This window comes from Homo sapiens, chromosome 13 (assembly GCF_000001405.40).
Source record: "Homo sapiens chromosome 13, GRCh38.p14 Primary Assembly".
Lineage (NCBI taxonomy): Eukaryota > Metazoa > Chordata > Mammalia > Primates > Hominidae > Homo > Homo sapiens.
In genome coordinates this window covers 90,289,506-90,310,272 of record NC_000013.11, presented here as the reverse complement: position 1 = coordinate 90,310,272, position 20,767 = coordinate 90,289,506, and the positions used below count along the sequence as shown (strand labels likewise).

General features: G+C 37.7%; 1 long non-coding RNA gene across 1 annotated transcript; it reads right to left on the bottom strand.

Annotated features, from left to right (window-relative positions):
* Window positions 1-6,794: 6,794 nt before the first annotated feature.
* LOC105370310 (uncharacterized) lies at window positions 6,795-19,032 on the bottom strand. Its single transcript, XR_931636.2, has 3 exons — window positions 18,860-19,032; window positions 10,706-10,752; window positions 6,795-9,833 (listed from the first exon to the last, which is right to left on the bottom strand). It is a non-coding gene; the product is annotated as an uncharacterized LOC105370310 (long non-coding RNA).
* Between the last annotated feature and the right edge of the window lie 1,735 nt (window positions 19,033-20,767).

The following is a 20,767-nucleotide window of genomic DNA, read 5'->3' as shown; positions in this document are numbered from 1 at the left end:
TTTCTTGCAGTTCTCAAGGCTGAGAAGTCCAAGATCAAGACACCAGCAGACGTGATATCTCATAGATGGCACCTTTTCACTGTGTCCGCACATGGTGGAGCAGGCAAGGCAGTTCTTTGGGCTTTTTTTTTTTTTTTTTTTTTTTTTGAGATGGAGTTTCACTCTATTGCGAGGCTGGAGTGAAGTGGCATGATCTCGGCTCACTGCAACCTCCACCTCCCAGGTTCAAGTGATTCTCCTGCCTCAGCTTCCCGAATAGCTAGGACTACAGGTGTGTGCCACTACACCCAGTTAAATTTTGTATTTTTAGTAGAGATGGAGTTTCACCATGTTGGCCAGGATGGTCTCAATCTCTTGACCTCGTGATCCGCCCGCCTCGGCCTCCTGAAGTGTTGGGATGGTACTAATCCCATTCATGAGGCCTGCCCTCATGACCTAGTAAACCCCTAACAAAACCCACCTTGTAATATCATCAAATTAGTAATTAAGTTTTCAACATATAAATTTGTGAGGGGCATAATTGTTCAACCATAGCAGGGAAGAGTCATCTTAGTATTCTGCCTGCCACAGTCTACTTCCTGGACCCTGATAATTCATATCCCTCACACAAGCAAATGTTATTCACCCTCTCCAAGCATTACAAAGAGTCTCATTCTATTATATTATCAGCTGAAAGTCTAAATTTCTCATTATCTAAAGTAGGTGTGAATGAGGCTACTGTGTGTAATTCATTAAATACAGTTCTTGGGCACAATTCCTCCCTACCTGTGGACATGTGAACCTAAAGACGTAAGGTATCTCCCCCCAACACTCCTGACATACAGTAGAGGAGTAGGCATTGTATAATAGTTAAACACATTTGAGCTTGGAAAAGCAGGCAAAGCGGCCGGGCACAGTGGCTCATGCCTGTAATCCCAGCACTTTGGGAGGCCGAGGTGGGTGGATCAGCTGAGGTCAGGAGTTTGAGACCAGCCTGGCCAACATAGTGAAACCCCATCTCTACTAAAAATACAAAAAATTAGCCGGGCATGGTGGCAGGTGCCTGGAATCCCAGCTACTCAGGAGGCTGAGGCTGGAGAATCGCTTGTACCCGGGAGGCGGAGGTTGCGGTGAGCAGAGATCACGCCACGGCATTCCAGCCTGGGTGACAATAGCAAAACTGTGCACATGTACCTTAGAACTTAAAGTATAATAAATAAATAAATATATATAAAATAATAAAAAAGAAAACAAAAAGAAAAACAAAAAAAAAAAAAAGAAAGAAAAAGAAAAAGCAGGCAAAGGAAGACGAGAAAGAGTGATTAGTCCAAACTAGTTCTGAAATCCACACAGGAAAACAGCTTTAGAATTTTTTATTAGGTTTCAAGGACTGGGAGTAATCACCCATAGCTTTTGACTTCGTCCTCTAGGCTCTTGGATCCATTCTTCCTTTCTTTATTAAAGAAGCAGCATGTGTTTGCTGCTGAAGAGTTTCATTAGCCTTCTGTTGTTAGAATTTGGGGATCCAAGAGCCTACTTTAACTTCATCTTCTCTTAGTATTTTCAGTCTAAGCCAAGATTATTTCTGCTAAAACAATGTTCTCAAAAACTTTGTAGATCTTGTGTGAATTTCACTGGTTTCACTTCAGTAGTCAAAGGCATATCCCATAAGATTTTTGAGATAATTTATTCTCCATCTTTGGCTTCCACTGAGATGACTGAGGGACAATACACTAAAGTCTCATAAAGGGCCACTTGTTTGTTTGAGAGGATCTGTGAGGGATATCCTTAGTACCTTGCAAAGACCCTTTGTGTTATTGATTGTTTTGACCTTTGATTTGTTTGATGTTTTAGCAAAGGTCATACAGTGACACAACAGCTTCTTCTCCATGCCAAGTTTCTGGCAGCCATATGAGAATTTTAGAATCTTTCACCCTCCAGAAAGCTTGAAAATTTCAAAATCATCTATTCCTTGTCCCTCTTTGTTTAACATTTCTTCCCTCAATTTCTCTCTCTCTTCATGATTTTATTATAAGTAGCAAGAGGAAACCAGGCAGCACCCTTAACACTATGATTGGAAATGTCCCTACCTAAGTTCATCACTTCAAAATTCTGCTATCAACATCGTATAGTTTCACCAGGGCTTCTGCCACTGTATGAGAAGGACGTCCTTTCCTTTGGGTTGCAGATTCTGCTTTTAGCTCTCGTAAGCATCATCCTTAAAATCCTAATTTCTATTAGCAGTTTGTTCAAGACAATTTAGATTTTATCTTAGTATGCTACTCAAAATTATTGCAGCCGTCACTCACTGCCCGATTTAAAAGCTGTTCCCAAATTTTAAGTGATCCCAAATTTTGGTATCAACACCACTCCACTTCTAAGTACCAAAACACACACTGGTGTTCTTTTGATGTTATAATGAATTACTGAAAATGTAACAGTTTAAAATAACACAAAATTATTATCTCATGGCTTCTGTAGATCAGAAAGTCCAGGGGTAGCATAATTGGGTTGTCTTTCTAGGACCTCATAAAATTGAAATTAAAGGGTCAGCTGAGGCTCTTTTCTCATCTGGAGATCAGAGTTCTCATCTGATTTCATTTAGATGGTTGGCAGAATTCAGTGTCTTGTGTTTGTAGGACTAAGATCCCTATTTTCTTGATGAGTTTTGGCCAGCGGTCCCCTCAGAGGCTTCTAGATGCTTCCTCCAGGTCATAGTCATGTGGCCTCCAGTGTAGACAGTTTACAAAGTACATGGCTATTTGGTTTAGGCCTGCCAGAAAGAATCTCGATGATACTTCACCGTCTGTATTAGCCCATTCTCACACTGCTGTAGTATTCATACTACCTGAAATATGATAGTTTATAAAGAAAGGAGGTTTAATGGACTCAGAGTCCTGCCTAGCTGGGAAGGCCTCAGGAAACAATCATAGCGGAAGGCAAACGGGGAGCAAGGCGTGTGTCACATGGCTGCAGGAGAGAGTGTAAGCAAGGAAGTGTCACCACTTCCTTGATGTCACTCAGATCTCATTAGAACTTGCTCCCTATCAGAAAAACAGCATGAGAAAAACTGCCCGCATGATCCAATTACCTCCTACCAGGTCCTTCCCTCAACATGGGGATTACAATTCAAGAGATTTGGGTGGGGACCCAGAGCCAAACCATATCACTGTGTTCTGAATATCTCACATGGTTATGTCAGGGCCACCCTCAAAGTTAAGTGGTTAGCAACCTATTATGGAAGTGATATCCCATCATACTCAATGGTCTCAGCCACACTGAAGAGGAGGGAATTATATAGGGTGTGTGTGCTGTGGATGGAAGTCATGGGGACCATCTCAGATTTCTTCTTACTGCAGGTGGAGACAGTAGCACTTATTAACATTCTCCCTTTGCAGTGCATCACTCTGCCTTAGGTAGGAATTTTGCTTTAAAGCCAGTACTATGGATATCTTTTAAGTGTCTGTTTCCAAACACAGTAAATTTCAAATAACCAAATGGCACTATCCAGCTTATTAGTCAAGGCTAAAAAAATGTCATTCCTAATTTGCCTCTTTTTCTCACACCTACTGTGTAATCCATTAGCAGGTCCTATCTTCATCCTTTAACCTAACCAGCATCATCTGCCCTGACCCCTGCAATAGCAGGGAAGGTCTTCCACTTCTGTTCTGGACTCCTTATGATCTACTACTCTCCATATTGCATCTTCTAAAAATGTCAGATATATCTTCCAATATAATCAGATAATGTAAATAAAATACATATTAAAAAAAAAATTTCCAGCCAGGCTCATGCTTGTAATCCCAGTACTTTGGGAGGCCAAGGTGGGTGGATAACTTAAGGTCAGGAGTTTGAGACCAGCCTGGCTAACATGGTGAAACCCTGTTTCTACTGAAAATACAAAAATTAGATGGGCATGGTGGCAAGTGCCTGTAATTTCAGCTACTTGGGAGGCTGAGGCAGGAGAATCCCTCGAACCCAGGAGGCAGAGTTTGCAGTGAGCTGAGATCGCTCCACTGCACTCCAGGCTGGGTGACAGAGAGAGACTCTGTGTCAAAACACAAACAAACAAAAAACTTTTCTGATAACTACCTATTAAATTCAGAATAAAATCCAAACTGTTTACCATGGTTCACAAGTTTCTACTGTCTGGTCTTTGCCTACTTCGTCCCTAACATCAACTTTTTGTTACCCTCCCTACTTAACTCTTTTACTCACTTCCAGCCACATTTTCCATTTATGCATTAGGATGATTACATATCTTTATCTTTACATATGAGACTTACAGCCTTGTTCTTGATATGACTATTTCATCATCATTCTGGTGCATTCTCTGACTACTCTACCTAAATTGCAATATCTCATTCACACTCTTTCCTATCAAACTGATTAGCATTTATTTATCTTGTCCTTTTAAAAAAATAATTATTTACTACATCTTCCTAACCTATGTCCTCATGTTTGGAAGTCATCTCTGTTCCCACAGAAGGACACAGTTCACTCCTGCACTATGATGTTTCACTCCACATCAAGAAGTAAGTGTTTGCTTCCAATCTGGTTCTCAAGACTTCACTACATGGACAGTCCTGCTAGCATAAGTCATACCATAGTTTCCTTTGAGGGGAAGTGGGGAATGATGGAAGTGATGCTGTATAATAGGAATACTGTATTGGTCCATTCTCACACTGCTATAAAAATACTGCCCAAGACTGGGTAATTTATAAAATAAAGAGTTTTAATTGACTCATAGTTCCACTTCGGTGAGGAGGCCTCAGGAAACTCACAATCACGGCACAAGGCAAAGGGGAAGCAAGCTTACACCTTCTCACATGGTGGCAGGAGAGAGAAAAGTAGTGAAGGAAGAACTTGCCAAACACTTATAAAACCATCAGATCTTGTGATAACTCACTGTCATGAGAACAGCATGAGGGAAACCATCCCCATGATCCAGTTATCTCCCAACAGGCTCCTTCCTCAACTCCTGAAGATTTCGGGGATTATAATTCAAGATAAGATTTGGGTGGGGTCACAAAGCCTAACCATATCAAATATAAACTTAAAAAAATTAGGTAACAAATATTAATGCAACATTTGTTTAAGATCCAAACTGAGTGTATGTGCATGTGAAGTTTGTTTAATTCCCTCTGTTATTTGTATGACTTTTTGATCCATAAATACTTTTATTCACAGTTTATTACTGAATGTCAAACTTCATTTAATTTTGAGTCATGTTACATATAATCAAATGCACCTATCATATTTACATACTAAAATTACTTTGAATTTGAGATAGCTTTAAATTTTATATAGTAAATGTTTAATCTTCTAAGCTCAGTAAAAATGTTTACTAATTTTTAAGGGCAAATATGTTTAAAGGAATAAGCAAGGAAATTTGCATTTCTTTAAACATTTATTGCAAGGTAAATTTCTATGCAAATAGGTAATAAAATAGCTGATCCATGTTCCATGAAGCATTATGTTATTTACTTAGACATTTTAAAATGCATTTATGGAGATGCAGTAGGTATATGGAGGTGTGTGTGGGCATACATGCACATAAATATATAAATATGTCACAGTGATTTCAAACAATCTGATTTCAAGCCCTATTTTTGAGTACTAGTCATGGAGTTCACTAGTTGTGTTGCTTTTAGAAAGTTACTTTTCCTCTCTAGATTTGTTTTCTTATCTGTAAAATGGACATAATAACATCAAAACACAGAATTTTGTAAAGGTACAACTTATATGGAAGTCCCTTGCTGGTGCTGCTCACATAATAAGCCTAGAGTAAGCAAATAATAAGAAATATAATTATAGTAAATTAATGGTTTGGAGATTATTAGTTTTCTATTAATGTCATAAGAAATTATCACAAATTTTAAACACCTTAACATAACACAAATTCATTATCTTATAGTTCTGTATTTCAGAATCCCAGCACAGGTATTACTGGGCTAACATTTAGGTGCTGGCAAGGTAAAGTTACTTTCTGGTAGCTGTAGGGGAGAATCTGTTTTTTTGTTTTTGTTTTCTTATCTGCATTTTTGGCAGAATTCAGTTCCTTGCAACTACAGGACTGAAGTCTCTGTTTCCTTGTTCACTGTCAGCTGAGGTTTGCTCTCAAATTTTAGACGCTGCCCACCCTTCTCAGCTCATGGCCCTTTGCTCCATCTTCGGAACCAGCACCAGAAGGCTGGATCTCTCTCATGCTTTGAATCTTTCCTGTCTCTTCTCTCACATGCTCTGCCCCACGCTACTGTCTTCCTCTTCTACTTGGAAAAGCCTGAATTGGACCTCATTAGGTCCATCTGGATAACCCAGAATATTTTGCCTATTTTAAGGTATGCCACCTCAATTTTATGTGCAAGATTCCTTTTGTTATTTGAGGTAACATATTCTCAGGTTTGGGGGATTAAATGTTGACATCTTTAAAGGATATTATTCTACCTGTCGCAGGCACCATTCTGAAAAAGCTGCTGCACTTCTCAAAAGAAGACATTGATGCAGACAGGAAACATGAAAAAAAGCTCATCATCACTGGTCATTAGAGAAATGCAAATCAAAACCACAATAAGATACCATCTCACTTCAGTTAGAATGACGATCATTAAACAGTCAGGAAACAACAGATACTGAAGAGAATGTGGAGAAAGAGGAACGCTTTTACACTGTTGGTGGGAGTGTAAATTAGTTCAACCATTGTGGAAGACAGTGTGGCAATTCCTCAAGGATCTAGAACCAGAAATACCATTTGACCCAGCAATCCCATTACTGGGTGTATACCCAAATGATTATATATCATTCTACTATAAAAACACATGTACATGTATGTTTATTGCAGCACTGTTCACAATGATAGACTGGATAAAGAAAATGTGGCATGTATACACGATGGAATACTCTGCAGCCATAAAAAGGATGAGTTCATGTCCTTTGCAGGGATATGGATGAAGCTGGAAACCATCATTCTCAGCAAACTAACACAGGAACAGAAAACCAAACACCGCATGTTCTCACTGATAAGTGGGAGTTGAACAACGAGAACACATGTACACAGAGGAGAATATCATCCACCGGGGCATGTCAGGGGGTGGGGGGCTAGGGGAGGGATAGCATTAGGAGAAATACATAATGTAGATGACGGGTTGATGAGTGCAGCAAACCACCATGGCACGTGAATACCTGTGTAACAAACCTTCATGTTCTGCACATGTATCCCAGAACTTAAAGTATAATAATAATAAAAAAGCTGCTGCACACCTTCATATATAGAATCCACTTAAAATATCAATTTAAATTATTTTCTTACTCTCTATACCCATAAGCATATATATTTCACTAACTTGAAATTCACTTTCATAAAATCAAATATGTATGTAGAAATCACTTAAGAGTGACGGCATCAACACTAAGCAATGAAAAAGATATAATTTAGTATCAGAATACATACACAGGCAGACTCTCTCACACACACATATATATGCATATATTTATAAACTTCCATTTATGCCTAAAATTAATATCCAGGTCTAATTGCAATGTGATTCTTATGTTAACTCTTTGGGCCTCACTTGGGAATTCTGAATGTGATCAAAGGACACATCACAGTTCTATTTGCAGCTGATGTTTATATTTCTCTTTTGTTTCCTAATCCTAAATTTTGAAGCATGTATTTGTCTCAAAACAATGTCCTTATCAGAAATCACTTCCTTTTCAAAGTTAATTATTTTTTACCGAGATTTCTCAATTTATTTGCCTATAGTTATAAGAATATCTGGTGCTATATATGGGTTCTTCATTATCTGAATTTCTGAAGTTCTGTTTATATACTTTTTTCCCACTATTATCTGCTCCACAATCTCATCCCATCTGGAAATTTAAAGAGGAATGTTTTTCTGTTCCAAATTTGATAAAATTATGCCTGTCACAACTGCCTTTGACCGCAAAAGAACAATTTCATCTTTGTGCTCCAAAGCTAGGAGCAGAGTTATAAAGACTGACCTAGTTTTGTCAGAGAGAAAGCAACTTCTAGACTGACTCATACCTAGAAAGTATTTCCCAAGATACAGCAAACATTTATTCCATGTATAATTGCTTTGTCCCAGAATCAAACACCCCTGCTGACTGTAGCCATCTCAGTAATGCTGTTTAACTCTCCCATGCACACTTCTGTGGACCTTTGTCCAACATGGTTCTGTATTTTCACAAATGTAATTCTAGTCTAAAGAAGTATGCAATTTTCCATTTAACCCTATATGGCAACTTTCAGTAGCTAGTGATTAGCTGGTGATTTAGTTATCAATGACAAAATAACATTATAGGTTTTTAAAAATGACTGTTCACTATGCATAAAATAGATTTCATTGCTTAAAGGATAGAGTACCTAAATTCACTTAAAGTATCAATATAGTATTTATTCATTTTAGTTACTTATGGATCTATGATTAGATTCATACTTGTCTTCCCCGTTTTCATTTGTAAGTTCCGCAATTGATATAAGCATTAAAAAATACTGAAAAAGCCTCTCTTAATCTCCTATTCTATTCCTTGGATTTGACAGTTTCTATTCTCACTTCTTCTAATGGTCACCTCTGTAATTGTAAGTAGTATGTTTGTATACATTTATCATTTATGTATTCTATTTATCAACATAAACCCTATTGTTTTACTTTCTGCTGTGAGAGAGAAGATAGGTGTGTAATTTACACAATCTTGTCTTTCTACCTTCCCATTCCCTTCTTTTTTTTTTTTAGATTTATCTTTGTTTTTTATTTACTTTTTTCACTCTTATAAATCTGAATACTATGTTCAAATGTAATCTTGATCCACCAGATTTAGATAATATATCTTTGCTCATTAGATGAAATTCTAAAACGTGTACAACTATTTCTCTGTACATTTCCTTCCCTCTTCCTCTCAGTTTGACAACTACATTGTTTCTTTTACCATGTCAACATTTATAACATTTACCTTTCTTTATATAGCTATAATTATTTCATGCTGTTTTTGGTTGACTCTGAAAAATAAAATGTCATAAACACTTTCTATTATAATACAGTGATGTAAATATAACCTTTTAAACAGGGATATTATTGAATTTGTATGGGATATGAAATCTACTTTCTCTAAAACTTACTCCTTTGAAGGAAGTTGGTCCAACACCCAAGACTAATTGGAATCACTTTTTGAATACTACATTAACTGAATAAAGTCACGTTACCTTCTAGTTTAATTCATATTTGGACCATAAGTTACATGACTATATTTTTTTCTAAAATTTTTCATTTCTATTGTCAATCAAAAAGTGTAAATCTTTCTTTACTACATCTCTTATGTCATAAAATCTCTTAATTCTGCTAATTATTAACCATTGATTATTAGATTGATTGTACCAGTCTGTTGTAAAATGTGATCTCAACATTTATTTTCAAAGCCCTGCTGGGTGAGATCCATTGTTTCTTCAATCTCGTAGCACATAATTTCCTTCATTTTGGGTTTTTTTTTCCATTAAGCTTGCATTCCCCCCCACCGTGAATGCAGATTTTACTTTTATAAAACTAGCTTTTTTGCATGATATTTAAATGAACACTGGAGAGAATTAGCTGGACAGAATTTTTTAAATGCTCATCTATATTCCTCTAGGTTTTTAGTACTGATGTTGAAAATTTTGACAACAATAAAATTTAGCTTTGAGACTAGTATCCTTATTTTTAGCGGTCTGATGTGTGATTGAGCTGGATGGGTGACATGCACCTGTAGTCATAGCTTCTTGAGATGCTGAGGCAGGAGGATCCCTTGAGCACAGACATTTGAGTCACTGAGTCCAGCCTGGGCAACATAATGAGACCCCTTCCCTGAAAAAATGAAAACGAAAGGGTGTGAATTAATGTGTTGATGTGCGCCACCTCTATTTGAAATGCATTTTAAATGTAAATTAATCTTCTGTATTGATCCTTTGTGTTTTATAGTATTCTAACATACTTTATATTTTTGCCTATCATTCCATGATATCTATATTTCAATTCTGTCTCTACATTATTCTATTTAATAATAATAACAATAATAACAATAATATTATTAATTATTATTTAATAATAATTATTAATTAGAGTAAATATGGTATCTATTTACAAGTCTTATTTCTTATTCGCTAACTCCTCTTCTTAAACATGGAGTATCTCTGGGGATACTTGTATATAGAACTTTGCATTTGTGTATTTTCATATTTCCTCTGAGATTCAATTTCTAGTATGGCCATTTTTTTTCCTTTTGTGCTTTAGGTTTTCCTTGGCATCTGATTGGGTCCTTTCTGGGCTCATCACTATTGAGAAAGGAAGACTGTTAATAGAAAAGATGGTTGTAATCGTGGAAACTATAGTTAATAGCAATATATTGTGTACTTCAAAATTGCTAACAAAGTAAATAAGTGTTCTCACCACAAACAAGGTATGTGAAATTATGCACATGTCACATATTTCAAAACATCATGTTGTACAATTGTATAACTATATACAGTTTTCATTTGTCAATTAAAAATGTTTAAATGAAGTTGGCTGCTTGGCCTTCCCATGTTGTGACCACACTTCTCTCTGTATTGTGGTGATGTTAGCAGTATGCTCTATCTATGGAGGAGTTGTGTGTGGACATGTGGTTTCACTTGATCTTGTGTAGGCTGTGATCAGGCTAATGAGTCCCTTCTCTAGGGGACTGGCTCTGGCGTTCTTACCTCCACCTGGAAGGTGATCACTCATCCTCTTCAGACAATTCTTCCATCTGGGAACAAAAAACATAGAAGCCAGGGTGAGGGGTGAGATCAGCCAGTCATCTATTATTATGCAAATGGGGATTCCATGGATTGCCCTTGTGTCCGCCACATCTCCCACACCTGTAGGAGACTGAGCAACTTGACCCCAGGACTACCGTTTGGTTCCTCAGAGCTGAAGCCCCTTGCCTAGACATTCGCCCTAGTCATGCCCCAACTGTATTGAGTCTAGCCCTGCCTAATGGTCGCTGTTGTTCCTCTGACTCATAGAGCAGCACATGGAAATTTAGAGTACAAGGATGACCAGCATGAAGATTTATGGTCTTTTTGAAATTATATTTTAAATTTTGTTTAAATATTTTTATTCAGAAAAATTTCACACTTAAAATATGCAAAATTCTCTCCTTTTCCCAGTAGTTGGAAATATAATTGCATCAAATCTCCCCTCTCCCAGCTATAGACCCTGGACCTAGACTGTGCTGCAACATTGGATGGTCAGGTAACTCATTTAAATAGAGTAACGGGCCTGAACAGAATCAGTCTTTTGAGAGTGTTAGCATCGCAACCAAAAGCAAGTTATAAATTTGGTAATTAACAGCAATTACTTGAGAAGGTCTTTTCCCCACCTTCCCAAATCATTTAACCCTTAATAGCTAGCTCTTCAAACCTCACTCTCATATAAAGTCTTGAAACTTGTTTGCATATCTTGCTAGCGCTTCTCTTAGCTCCTCTCACTCAAAGGCTCCCCCTTATCTTCTTTGTTATAAAGCTAGCCCCACCTATACCCTCCTCACTTCCCCAAACTCAGATTCTGTCTCCATCTTTTCAGTCTCATAATTTTTTATCACAAAATGTTGAACATCTTTCTCACCTCAAAGCAAGCAAAGTAAAAGCTCCTCTTAGATGTCAAGGAAGGAGGGGGAAGGAAGACAATTCACACATTAATATACTGTACAAGAAGAACACAGACAAGCTGCAATGACCAAGATAGCCATCACCACATGGCACTCTTTTTCCTCTAAGTCTTTATTCATTAGTTATATTCAAGAAATCAAATTCATAGTCAAGGTGTATTTGCTCATCAACTGAATCAGCCTCAGGAAATTATGCAGGAGAGAGCCATCTCTCTCTCTCTCTCGGGTTAATTATAATGCGGCAGGGTCCAGTTGCACACACTAGGACCTCTGTGTTCTTAAATTTATATTTCTACCAATAGCATATTTTCCTGTTTCAGCAGCACAATAGGTTGAAAAAAAGAGAAGGATAGCTCACATAAAGGGTGGTGAATGGTATTTCTCAGTCTCTTTTTTCTACTCACTATTTTAAAACACCCAGGACCATTCTACTACTTTCCCCAAAAATCTCCTAAGCAGATTCCTAAAACAGTACATTCAGCTCTACTTGTACTTGCTGCCCATAGAACACCGTGAACGTGCATTACAACCCTTATGTGTGTGTTTCATCAAGCCACTATGATAACTGTGGTCATGTTTTGTTGAGAATTGCTGTGAACATACCACTAAGATTGGTGTCACTCATCAGCACTAAAAGGCCAGTGGGATGCTATTACCATTGTGATGTGCACATCGATAGTGCTGTTGCTATTTTCGTTTGACACATGTGTTCCCTGGATGCCACATTACTATCCAGTGCATTCACTGCAATGTAATAGAGAACATCCATTCACCAAATGAGCAGTTCCAAAATTGCGATATTTTTGTGTCCATAAAGAGCAGTTCTTTGCTTGGTTCTGTGTTATGCATATATATATGTATATCAAATTATATATATTTATAGTGAATTATATATATATTTACAACAAATTATATATATAACAAATTTATTGTTAATTTTTCTTTTTTTCCTCTGGAGAATTAGGCATGAGATCATGAAAGACCAAAGGATGGACTGAATCTTAGTGTTACAAAGCTAAGTAACAGACACTATTGTACATTCTAGAATTGGTCCTCAAACAAAAAGCTCAGTTTTCTAAGGAGAGCTGTTGAGGGAGAGGTGAACCAGGCTACTGAACAGACAGCATGGTTTTAAGAAAGAACTGCCTTTCGAGTTCCCTGACTGGCATAGGAACTGAGCCCCTTACTGGTGTTGAAATGTCTTTGTAATGAACTTTCTGGATAGAAAGTGGCTAATGTTTCAAATGCCAACATTTTGTGACCTAATACTTTAAATTTTCATAATAGCTCAAGCCTTTCTCATTATACCTCAGGAAGCCCTTAGATTATGGCAATAGTTGTATTTATTGTTAGTCTCACTCTCTCTCTATTTTTTTTTTTTAGACAGAGTCTTGCTCTGTCGCCCAGGCTGGAATGCAGTGGCACAATCTGCATTCACTGCAACCTCCACCTTATGGGTTCAAGCAATTATCCTGCCTCAGCCCCCTGAGGAGCTGGGATTACAGGCAAGCCCTACTATGTCCAGCTACTTTTTGTATTTTTAGTAGAGACGGAGTTTCATCATGTTGGCCAGGCCAGGCTGGTTTTGAAGCCCTGACCACAAGTGATCAGCCCGCCTTGGGCTCCCAAAGTGCTGGGATTACAGGCATGAACCACTGTGCCTGCCTAGTCTCATTCTTTAATGTGTTTCATGAGAGAGCATTTCTCTGAGTTGTCCTAACTATATTAGTAAAAATTTGGTAGAAATTTGTGGGCTGCTGATTACATACTATGTCTCTATTTTTAATGTCCTCATTAAAAAAAGAAGAAAAAAAGAAGTTCTTGGCTTACATCAAAGGGGGCACATATCTTTCAATTCTGTGGGAGCTATTCTTCTCTTAAAGTGAAGTTCATATCTCTAGATGAGATCCTTTATAGTGAAGACTTTGCAAGGCCAGTCATGGCTTGTTCTTCTGATGATAATGTACAACTAAAATAAAGCAGCAGAGTATTTTCTACAAAGAAGTATTTCATGCTTTTATCGTTATATTTAAATTAAAAGTAGGAATATACCTAGGGCTAGAATCTATTATTCAAAAAGATCTGTCAAACAATACAAATTTTAAAAAGCAACGCCAGGTGTTAAAAATGACTTCCTGTGAGCAAAGTGTGAAGTTTATGACAAAGTTGATAGCAGTGATTCTACTTGATTTTAGGACTTTTTATATTTTGCCTATTGCATTTATGATTCTTTAGTAATAATACATTACAATTTGGTGTTATACTTTTTATTAATTTACTCTATTCAGATTTATTTTCTACAATGTTTATATTTTTTTCTACATTGTATCAATATCTTCCAAAACATACTCAGTTATATTAGACAGAATATATGTTAAGTAGTAAATATGTGAAGCTACTATGTTTCCTGTTAGCTATATTATATTGAGCAAAATAAATAGAAGTGAACATACAATACTTATGTAATGATTGATGGTTTCTATTAATAAGAATTGAGAAGGTTTTATAAAAATATCTGGCACAGTATCTGGAAAAGATTTGGTGCATAATAAATGCCCCTTCTCTTATCTTATGCCTTTATAATAAAAACAAGAAAGAATGTTAATCAGAGCAATAAAATTTTACACTAGGAAAGTAACCATTTCATCCAGTCACAGTTTTTAGCCTCAGTACACATAAAAATAAATCTTTATTTAGTTCATCTAACTGTAAAAAACCAGTACTCTATACTTAACACTTCTTGGACAAAATTTCTCATAATTTAAGAGAATGTAGTCTGTTTTCTGGACTAAAACCATAGGTAATAAATTGTGTAAATGTATAGAGTTTGAAATTATACACCAAGTTTTCTTGAGATAAGAATAAATTGAATAGAACCATGATAACCTATCATTTATATTCCTCTATTTACAACCTAAATATTCTATGCTACATTTGGTAGTTACACATTATTCCCTTACCAATACTCTTCACTCCATTTTAGTAGTTCTCCAAAACAAACTCAAGTGTAATAATAAGTTTGTTATTTGTACTTTACAGTTCAATAGCTGCAGAATCAAATAGGAATGATTTCTTGTTTTCTTAATGTAGATTTTAAGAATATATATAAATATTTTTGTTAAATTTAAGAGGATCATTTATTTGAATTGCATAAAGAAAAATACAATTTAAAAGTAAATTTTCTTGAACTAAATGATCAGTGTTTTTTCAAGCATGTAATGAAACTGCACCTCTGTCCTTATTTTATGATTAATACATAAGTTAGTTTTAAATATTTAAACAAAATATACACTTGCTTGTTTACGGACTAAACATTCAGTAGCTTTTTCTTAAGCCAAGGATATTTTGCAAGTAACACAGTAAAATGTATTAAAGAATTCAAATTTCAGATTGTGGAAGAAGATTCATTTGAATTCAATGAAAAAATTTTTGAATCTGTAAGGCAGATCATTCTCTTAAATTTTCTTTCTGACAAAATAGAAGAAAATCGCTTATGTTAAAGCAAAATTGATGCTTTAAACCTAGAAGTTTTAAATATAAAATAGTTTCATAATTTAACATTTGTAAATACTTAGGGGTATGCTGAAAGTAATTTAGCATGAAAACATCAACAGAATGTATTATTATTATTCACCTTTAAGACTGACAGAATAGAACAATATCAAAGATGGAAGTTGTATGATTTATAGTATTGTTCTCATCTGTGAAATCTCAAATGCATAATTTTATGAAAAGTATACATTGAGATATTTACAGTGTTTATTTTGACATTTTCTAATATACCATAATTAATGGATATATATAAAACAAAGTGATAGAAATTAATAGATAAATAAAATACGTAATGCTACTTAGCTGTTCTTTGTATCCTTTTCTAAAGAATTACCAGGGACATGTATCAAAATGAACCAGCACCTTAACTGCATTTTTTCGTACAGCATTAGATCAGAGGGATATTTTCTAAATAATACAAGTAGATTCATTAAATAGATTTTTATTGCCCCTTAAATCAAATTTAACTAGTCGAAATAATTCAGTTTATCCTCATACGACATACAAAAAGAATAAAAAAGATGTAGATTTTATAAGATAGGTCTATCTGTCTATCATCTATTTATCTGTATCTATAACATCAATTTAATCTCTCCAAGTGACTTTGAAAGCAAGCTACTTTTTTCTACGGAAATTATTTTTATCTATTTTTTCTCTCATTTGTAAACTGATGAGGGTAAATTATATTTCCTTAGACAGCTGAGATACTATAAGTCTAAAATTATAGCCATTTTAGTTATATGAGAAACACAATTACCCGTCCAAACACCAAGAATGGACTTAAAGGCACAAAGAACAGCAAAAGTGAGACTTTTTAATAATGGTCTTGCAAGAGCAGTGTCTGGTGGGCGGGCACACCCAGGGCAGTCACAATGAGTAATATATCTCCTAGCACACAAGTCCCTCCCCGAGTTCCTCATTGATCGAGTACTATGGGGTTACAATCTTCCCAGACATCGCCTAAGTTTCATTATCCCCCTTAGAAAGTTATACCCAAGTCCACTTCTGCTTAAGTTTCGATTTCCCAATGATGAAGCTTTCTTCCCTTTTGTGAGCTGACTCCTCCTCTACATTCTGTTCACTTACTGTGACCTAGGTGCATGAGCCCTGTGATTTGTTACATTTGCAGGCTGGCTGCCAGTACTTAAATTTACCATGCCTTGAAGTGGACCATTTAAAATGTTTTCTCACAAATTCCCTCCTCTTTTCTATTTACTTCTTTTGGTCTTATTTTCATCTAAACCCTTTTGGTCCTCGAATTGCTCTAGAAGTTTTTTACTTTCTTCCTCATAGGAGACTGAGTTTAATTTGATTTCAGATGGTAGCAGGTTATTCTGTCAGTAACTCATGGGCGTTTGTTTATTAATAGCTATTTCAATTAATCTCTGTGCTAGTCTCCTCACACAAGGGATAATATAACATCCCACTGCTGTTAGGACTCCTGCCACAATTATGAGAGATGTAAGAACTGAAGCTACCACGCCTTTCCATTTTCCAAACCAACCTTCTGGCCAACCCGTAAATGGGTCATCAATTCCAGCATTTTGTGTCATTTCATTGGCTAGAGTTGTCAGTCCTTGTAAAGCTTTTCTGATGGTCCCATCTGGGGCAGTATTGTTGGGAATAAAAGTACAACACTTCTCACCCAGCATAACATATAGGCCTCCTTTTTCTGATAGTATGTCTAGTGCAAGCCTGTTTTCCCAGGCCATTCAGCTGGTGGCATCTAGCTGGCTAGCCACCCCTTCGAGGGTGTCCAGAGTATAACTGATGAATCTCTGTTGATTATAATAGATGTAGTTAATCCAATCCACATCCTTATTAATAGTCGACCACCAGAAGAGTGCTGACTCAAACCCAGCAGCTATTTGGTTTCAGGCCTTAAATTCATTAGGTACCCACCTAGGGACTCCTATCGAGTCAACATATAGATTGGGATCACAATAATTTATTAAATCTCTCCGGTTTCAGTGGCCATGTGTATTTTCATGTATCTTGTGGAATGCCAGGGTTAAGGGAATGGCCAATTGGACTACAGACAAGTCCTGGTCCAATTGGACAGTAACAGGTTACAGCAGCTCCCTTTCCCACAGTACCACCAGACATCAGCCTGGGGTATATGGAGAGCTTGTAATTGCCATTGCTTGACTCACCAGTGACGTTTCGAATGTGGGTACAAGTTGAGATTTCTCCCATGGGCTTATTGAACTCTGCCCCCTGCCTAGAGAGGCAAGAGGAGTGGTTCATAGTCCCTATAGAGAACAAAAGGATTGTTCTGGGATCCAGACTTTGCAATGCAGAAAGAACAATGACAGACTCTTACAAGTCTCATTTCCCCATTCATCCTTGTTCTGGTATAGAGCCAACATGCAGTGTGTTCCTTTAGGATTGGGATTCCATCCTAGGGGAAATGGAACCGCCTCTGCCTGAGGTTGTCCCGCAGCACACATGTAGCAGTTACTCTTGTTGAGAGCTTGTACCGAAAATTTGATCCATTCAACCCAGACATTCACATCCCCATACCTTGTTTCAATTTTTAAGGTTTGCCTTAAATCCTTTATCTCAATTATTTTTACCTTTTTAAGGTTATTATTTGGTAGATTAAGTGTTTATTAGGGCCTGGAGTTGGAGTAGTCCCAGGCAAATAGGAGGCTGAGTTCTTGATTAGTTTGAGAACAAATCACCTAGAGGGTCTTTTCCTGTGATGTCTGCCCCTAACCCATATACCTGAGATGCTACTTTTGGTTCTTGGTCTGAAATGGGTGGATTGTCAATGGTGATGAGTATAGGATTGCATTCTAAATTCTGGCAGTTATTTGGCAGGGAACACTTGGACAGATGTAGTTTATTCTTCAAGGGTCTCCAGCTCAGAGTTACCCACTTCACGTTTACTGTCCAGCCCTTAAACTGGGTAGTCCACCATACATCATTCCATCTGGAGCACAGTGATGCCCTTACTGTAACCTACATTTGGCTCAGGGCAAAAATATTTATCTGCCTACGAGAGCTGTCTCTGATTTTCTACATTCCCAGAAGGTAAAACCTGGAATGCATCAAATCTTCTTTTTTTTTTCTTGAGACAGAGTGTCGCTCTGTCGCCCAGGCTGGAGTGCAGTGGCATGATCGCGCCTCACTGAAACCTCCACCTCCTGGGTTCAAGCGATTCTCCTGCCTCAGCCTCCCAAGTAGCTGGGACTACATGCACGTGCCACCACACCCGGCTAATTTTTTGCATTTTTAGTAGAGACAGGGTTTCACCGTGTTAGTCAGGATGGTTTTGATCTCTGGGCCTCATGATCTGCTCACCTTGGCCTCCCAAAGTGCTGGGATTCCAGGCATGAACCACCACACCTGGGCGGCACCAAATCTTACAATCTGGTGTGCTACCATCTTGGTCACATTAATCACCAACCTGACTAGGTAGGGAGGAGTCCCCTGCCAGTTTCCATTCTTACCTTCTGCTCTTTGTATAGTAGCCCATCCCAGCCATATTAACTTCCATAAATGGGGCCAGCCCATGTTTTCTTTTTAGATTTTTCTCAGAGTTAACTTCAAGGGTTCCTCAGGTGACCTGTGCACTTTCCACTGGTCTTTTCCCCTCCTTTCCAGGGTTTCTCTTACCAGTCCCTTGACTCAAGTATACTGAGCTCACCCCCGTTCCACTGTTCACACAGCTGTCTCAGTGGTCAGGAGCGCTTGGTAGGGACCTTCCCAGTTTGGGTGGAGCTTGTCTTCTTCCCAAGTCTTAATCAGCACCAAGTCGCCGGGCTGGAAGTGCTGAACCTGAACTCTAGAAGTGGAGTTTGAGTCAGAAGTCCTTTTAACCTGAGGGATGACAGGGTGGAGGATATGGTCAGTATACAATTTCTTAATAATTTGTTCTTGGTTTCCGTAGTAAGAAGATCTGTAGCCCTGCCCAAATATGGGAGTCCATATCATAACCCATAGAAGGACAATCCCAAGGCATCTTAGTTTCTAAGATTAGATTGGTGATATGCTTTATGAGAGTTGATTTATTCTTTCTACCTTTCCAGAGGAAGGGGGATACCAAGGGGTGTGATAATCCCAACTAATTTGTAAACCTTCCATAATTTCCCTTAACACCCTTGAGGTAGCTTCCTTTCTAACTTCATGCAGTTCAAAGAAATCACTTCTCTTCTAACAAAGGGCAGCCTGAAAGTTCAGGCTGTAAATCACAGATAAACAGCTTAAGCACAGAAGGAGGGGTGGGAGAAAGACTCTTGGGTAATCACCAACTTCACACTCATAAGATGTGCTCCAGTAAAAGTAAGGCCTTAATAAGCACATTCGTTTCCCTTTAGGCACACTAAGGTAGGGAAGCTAAGAGAGGACTTGGGCGGATGCCTACAGCTGCAAGAAGATGTCGGGGAACAGACACAGAAACTCTGCCCTCCAGATAAGCAACCCAAAGGAGTGTTGTATGGTGACATGCAAGGTTCTAATAGTCCATTTTTAATCAAACCCTCTATTTCTGGTTGGAAATCTTTTCTCCCTTCATGGAAATGGGATATTCTTTTCTGCAAACTACTTTTACTGATTGCTTTAGTTCAATCTATAAGGGTGTGATTTTTAACCCTCTCCTGTTGCCGTCCCCAACCCACACAGGGGGATTAATTTTTTCTTTCCTCCTCCTCTGTTAGGAGGCTCATCTTTACTTTTATTTGTCCTTCCTCTATTCCTTATCCTAAACCCAATCTCACACTCAGTCTCTACCTAGGAGGTTAGTTCCTGCTTCATGAACATATAAGAATGGCCCGTCAATTTGTTTTCATCCCAATCTAAGTAACATTGTCTTGACTATCAGAACTGGAAATCCCTCCCCTTTCACCCCTCATACTGTCAATTTTTCCTAGAGAATTCTGTAACCCTTGGTTGGTGAATTAGGGAGGAGCGAGCCTCCCCAGCATTAACCAAATATGTCATTTCTTCTGCCTCTGGTCCTACCTTCAAATTTATCAAGGGTTCCTGGTGGGACCTACTCAGGAGGAACCCCTGAACCCCCCTAGTCTTCATTAAGGGTCATGAGGGGGATCACCTTTTCTTCTTTTTTTCATTCAGGACATTCTCTCTTAAAATGCCCTCGCTTTCCACACTGGTAACATCCACTTATAAAAAGTAAAGTAGAGGTTGCTCTTCAAAGACTTTCCTCCCCGTCTAATTACGAATAAATAGTAACTTCTCTTAGAAGCAAAATTTATTCAAAGACCTGTGCTAACATTCTTAAATATCTGCTAGCCGTAATAAAGAAATCAATGTACTTTATGTTCTTAGCTCCCACAATTTAGCCTAAATATTTGCCCTGGTATGTTTATACTGGTCCAAGCAAGCATTAGGTCATAGCCTGTTCCTCTTCCTTATTTAAAAGTGTTTTTACCCTTCTCAGCATTCCGCAAGTTACTTCCTCCTTCCTTTGTTCTCCTCTACCTTTTCCTCTTTTAAAAAGTTCTAAGTTGCTAGCCAATCAGTACAAATACGGAATGTGAGGTCCCGTTCCAGCCAATGGAAACCGGACACAGCAGTAGGGTGGATGCATCAGGTT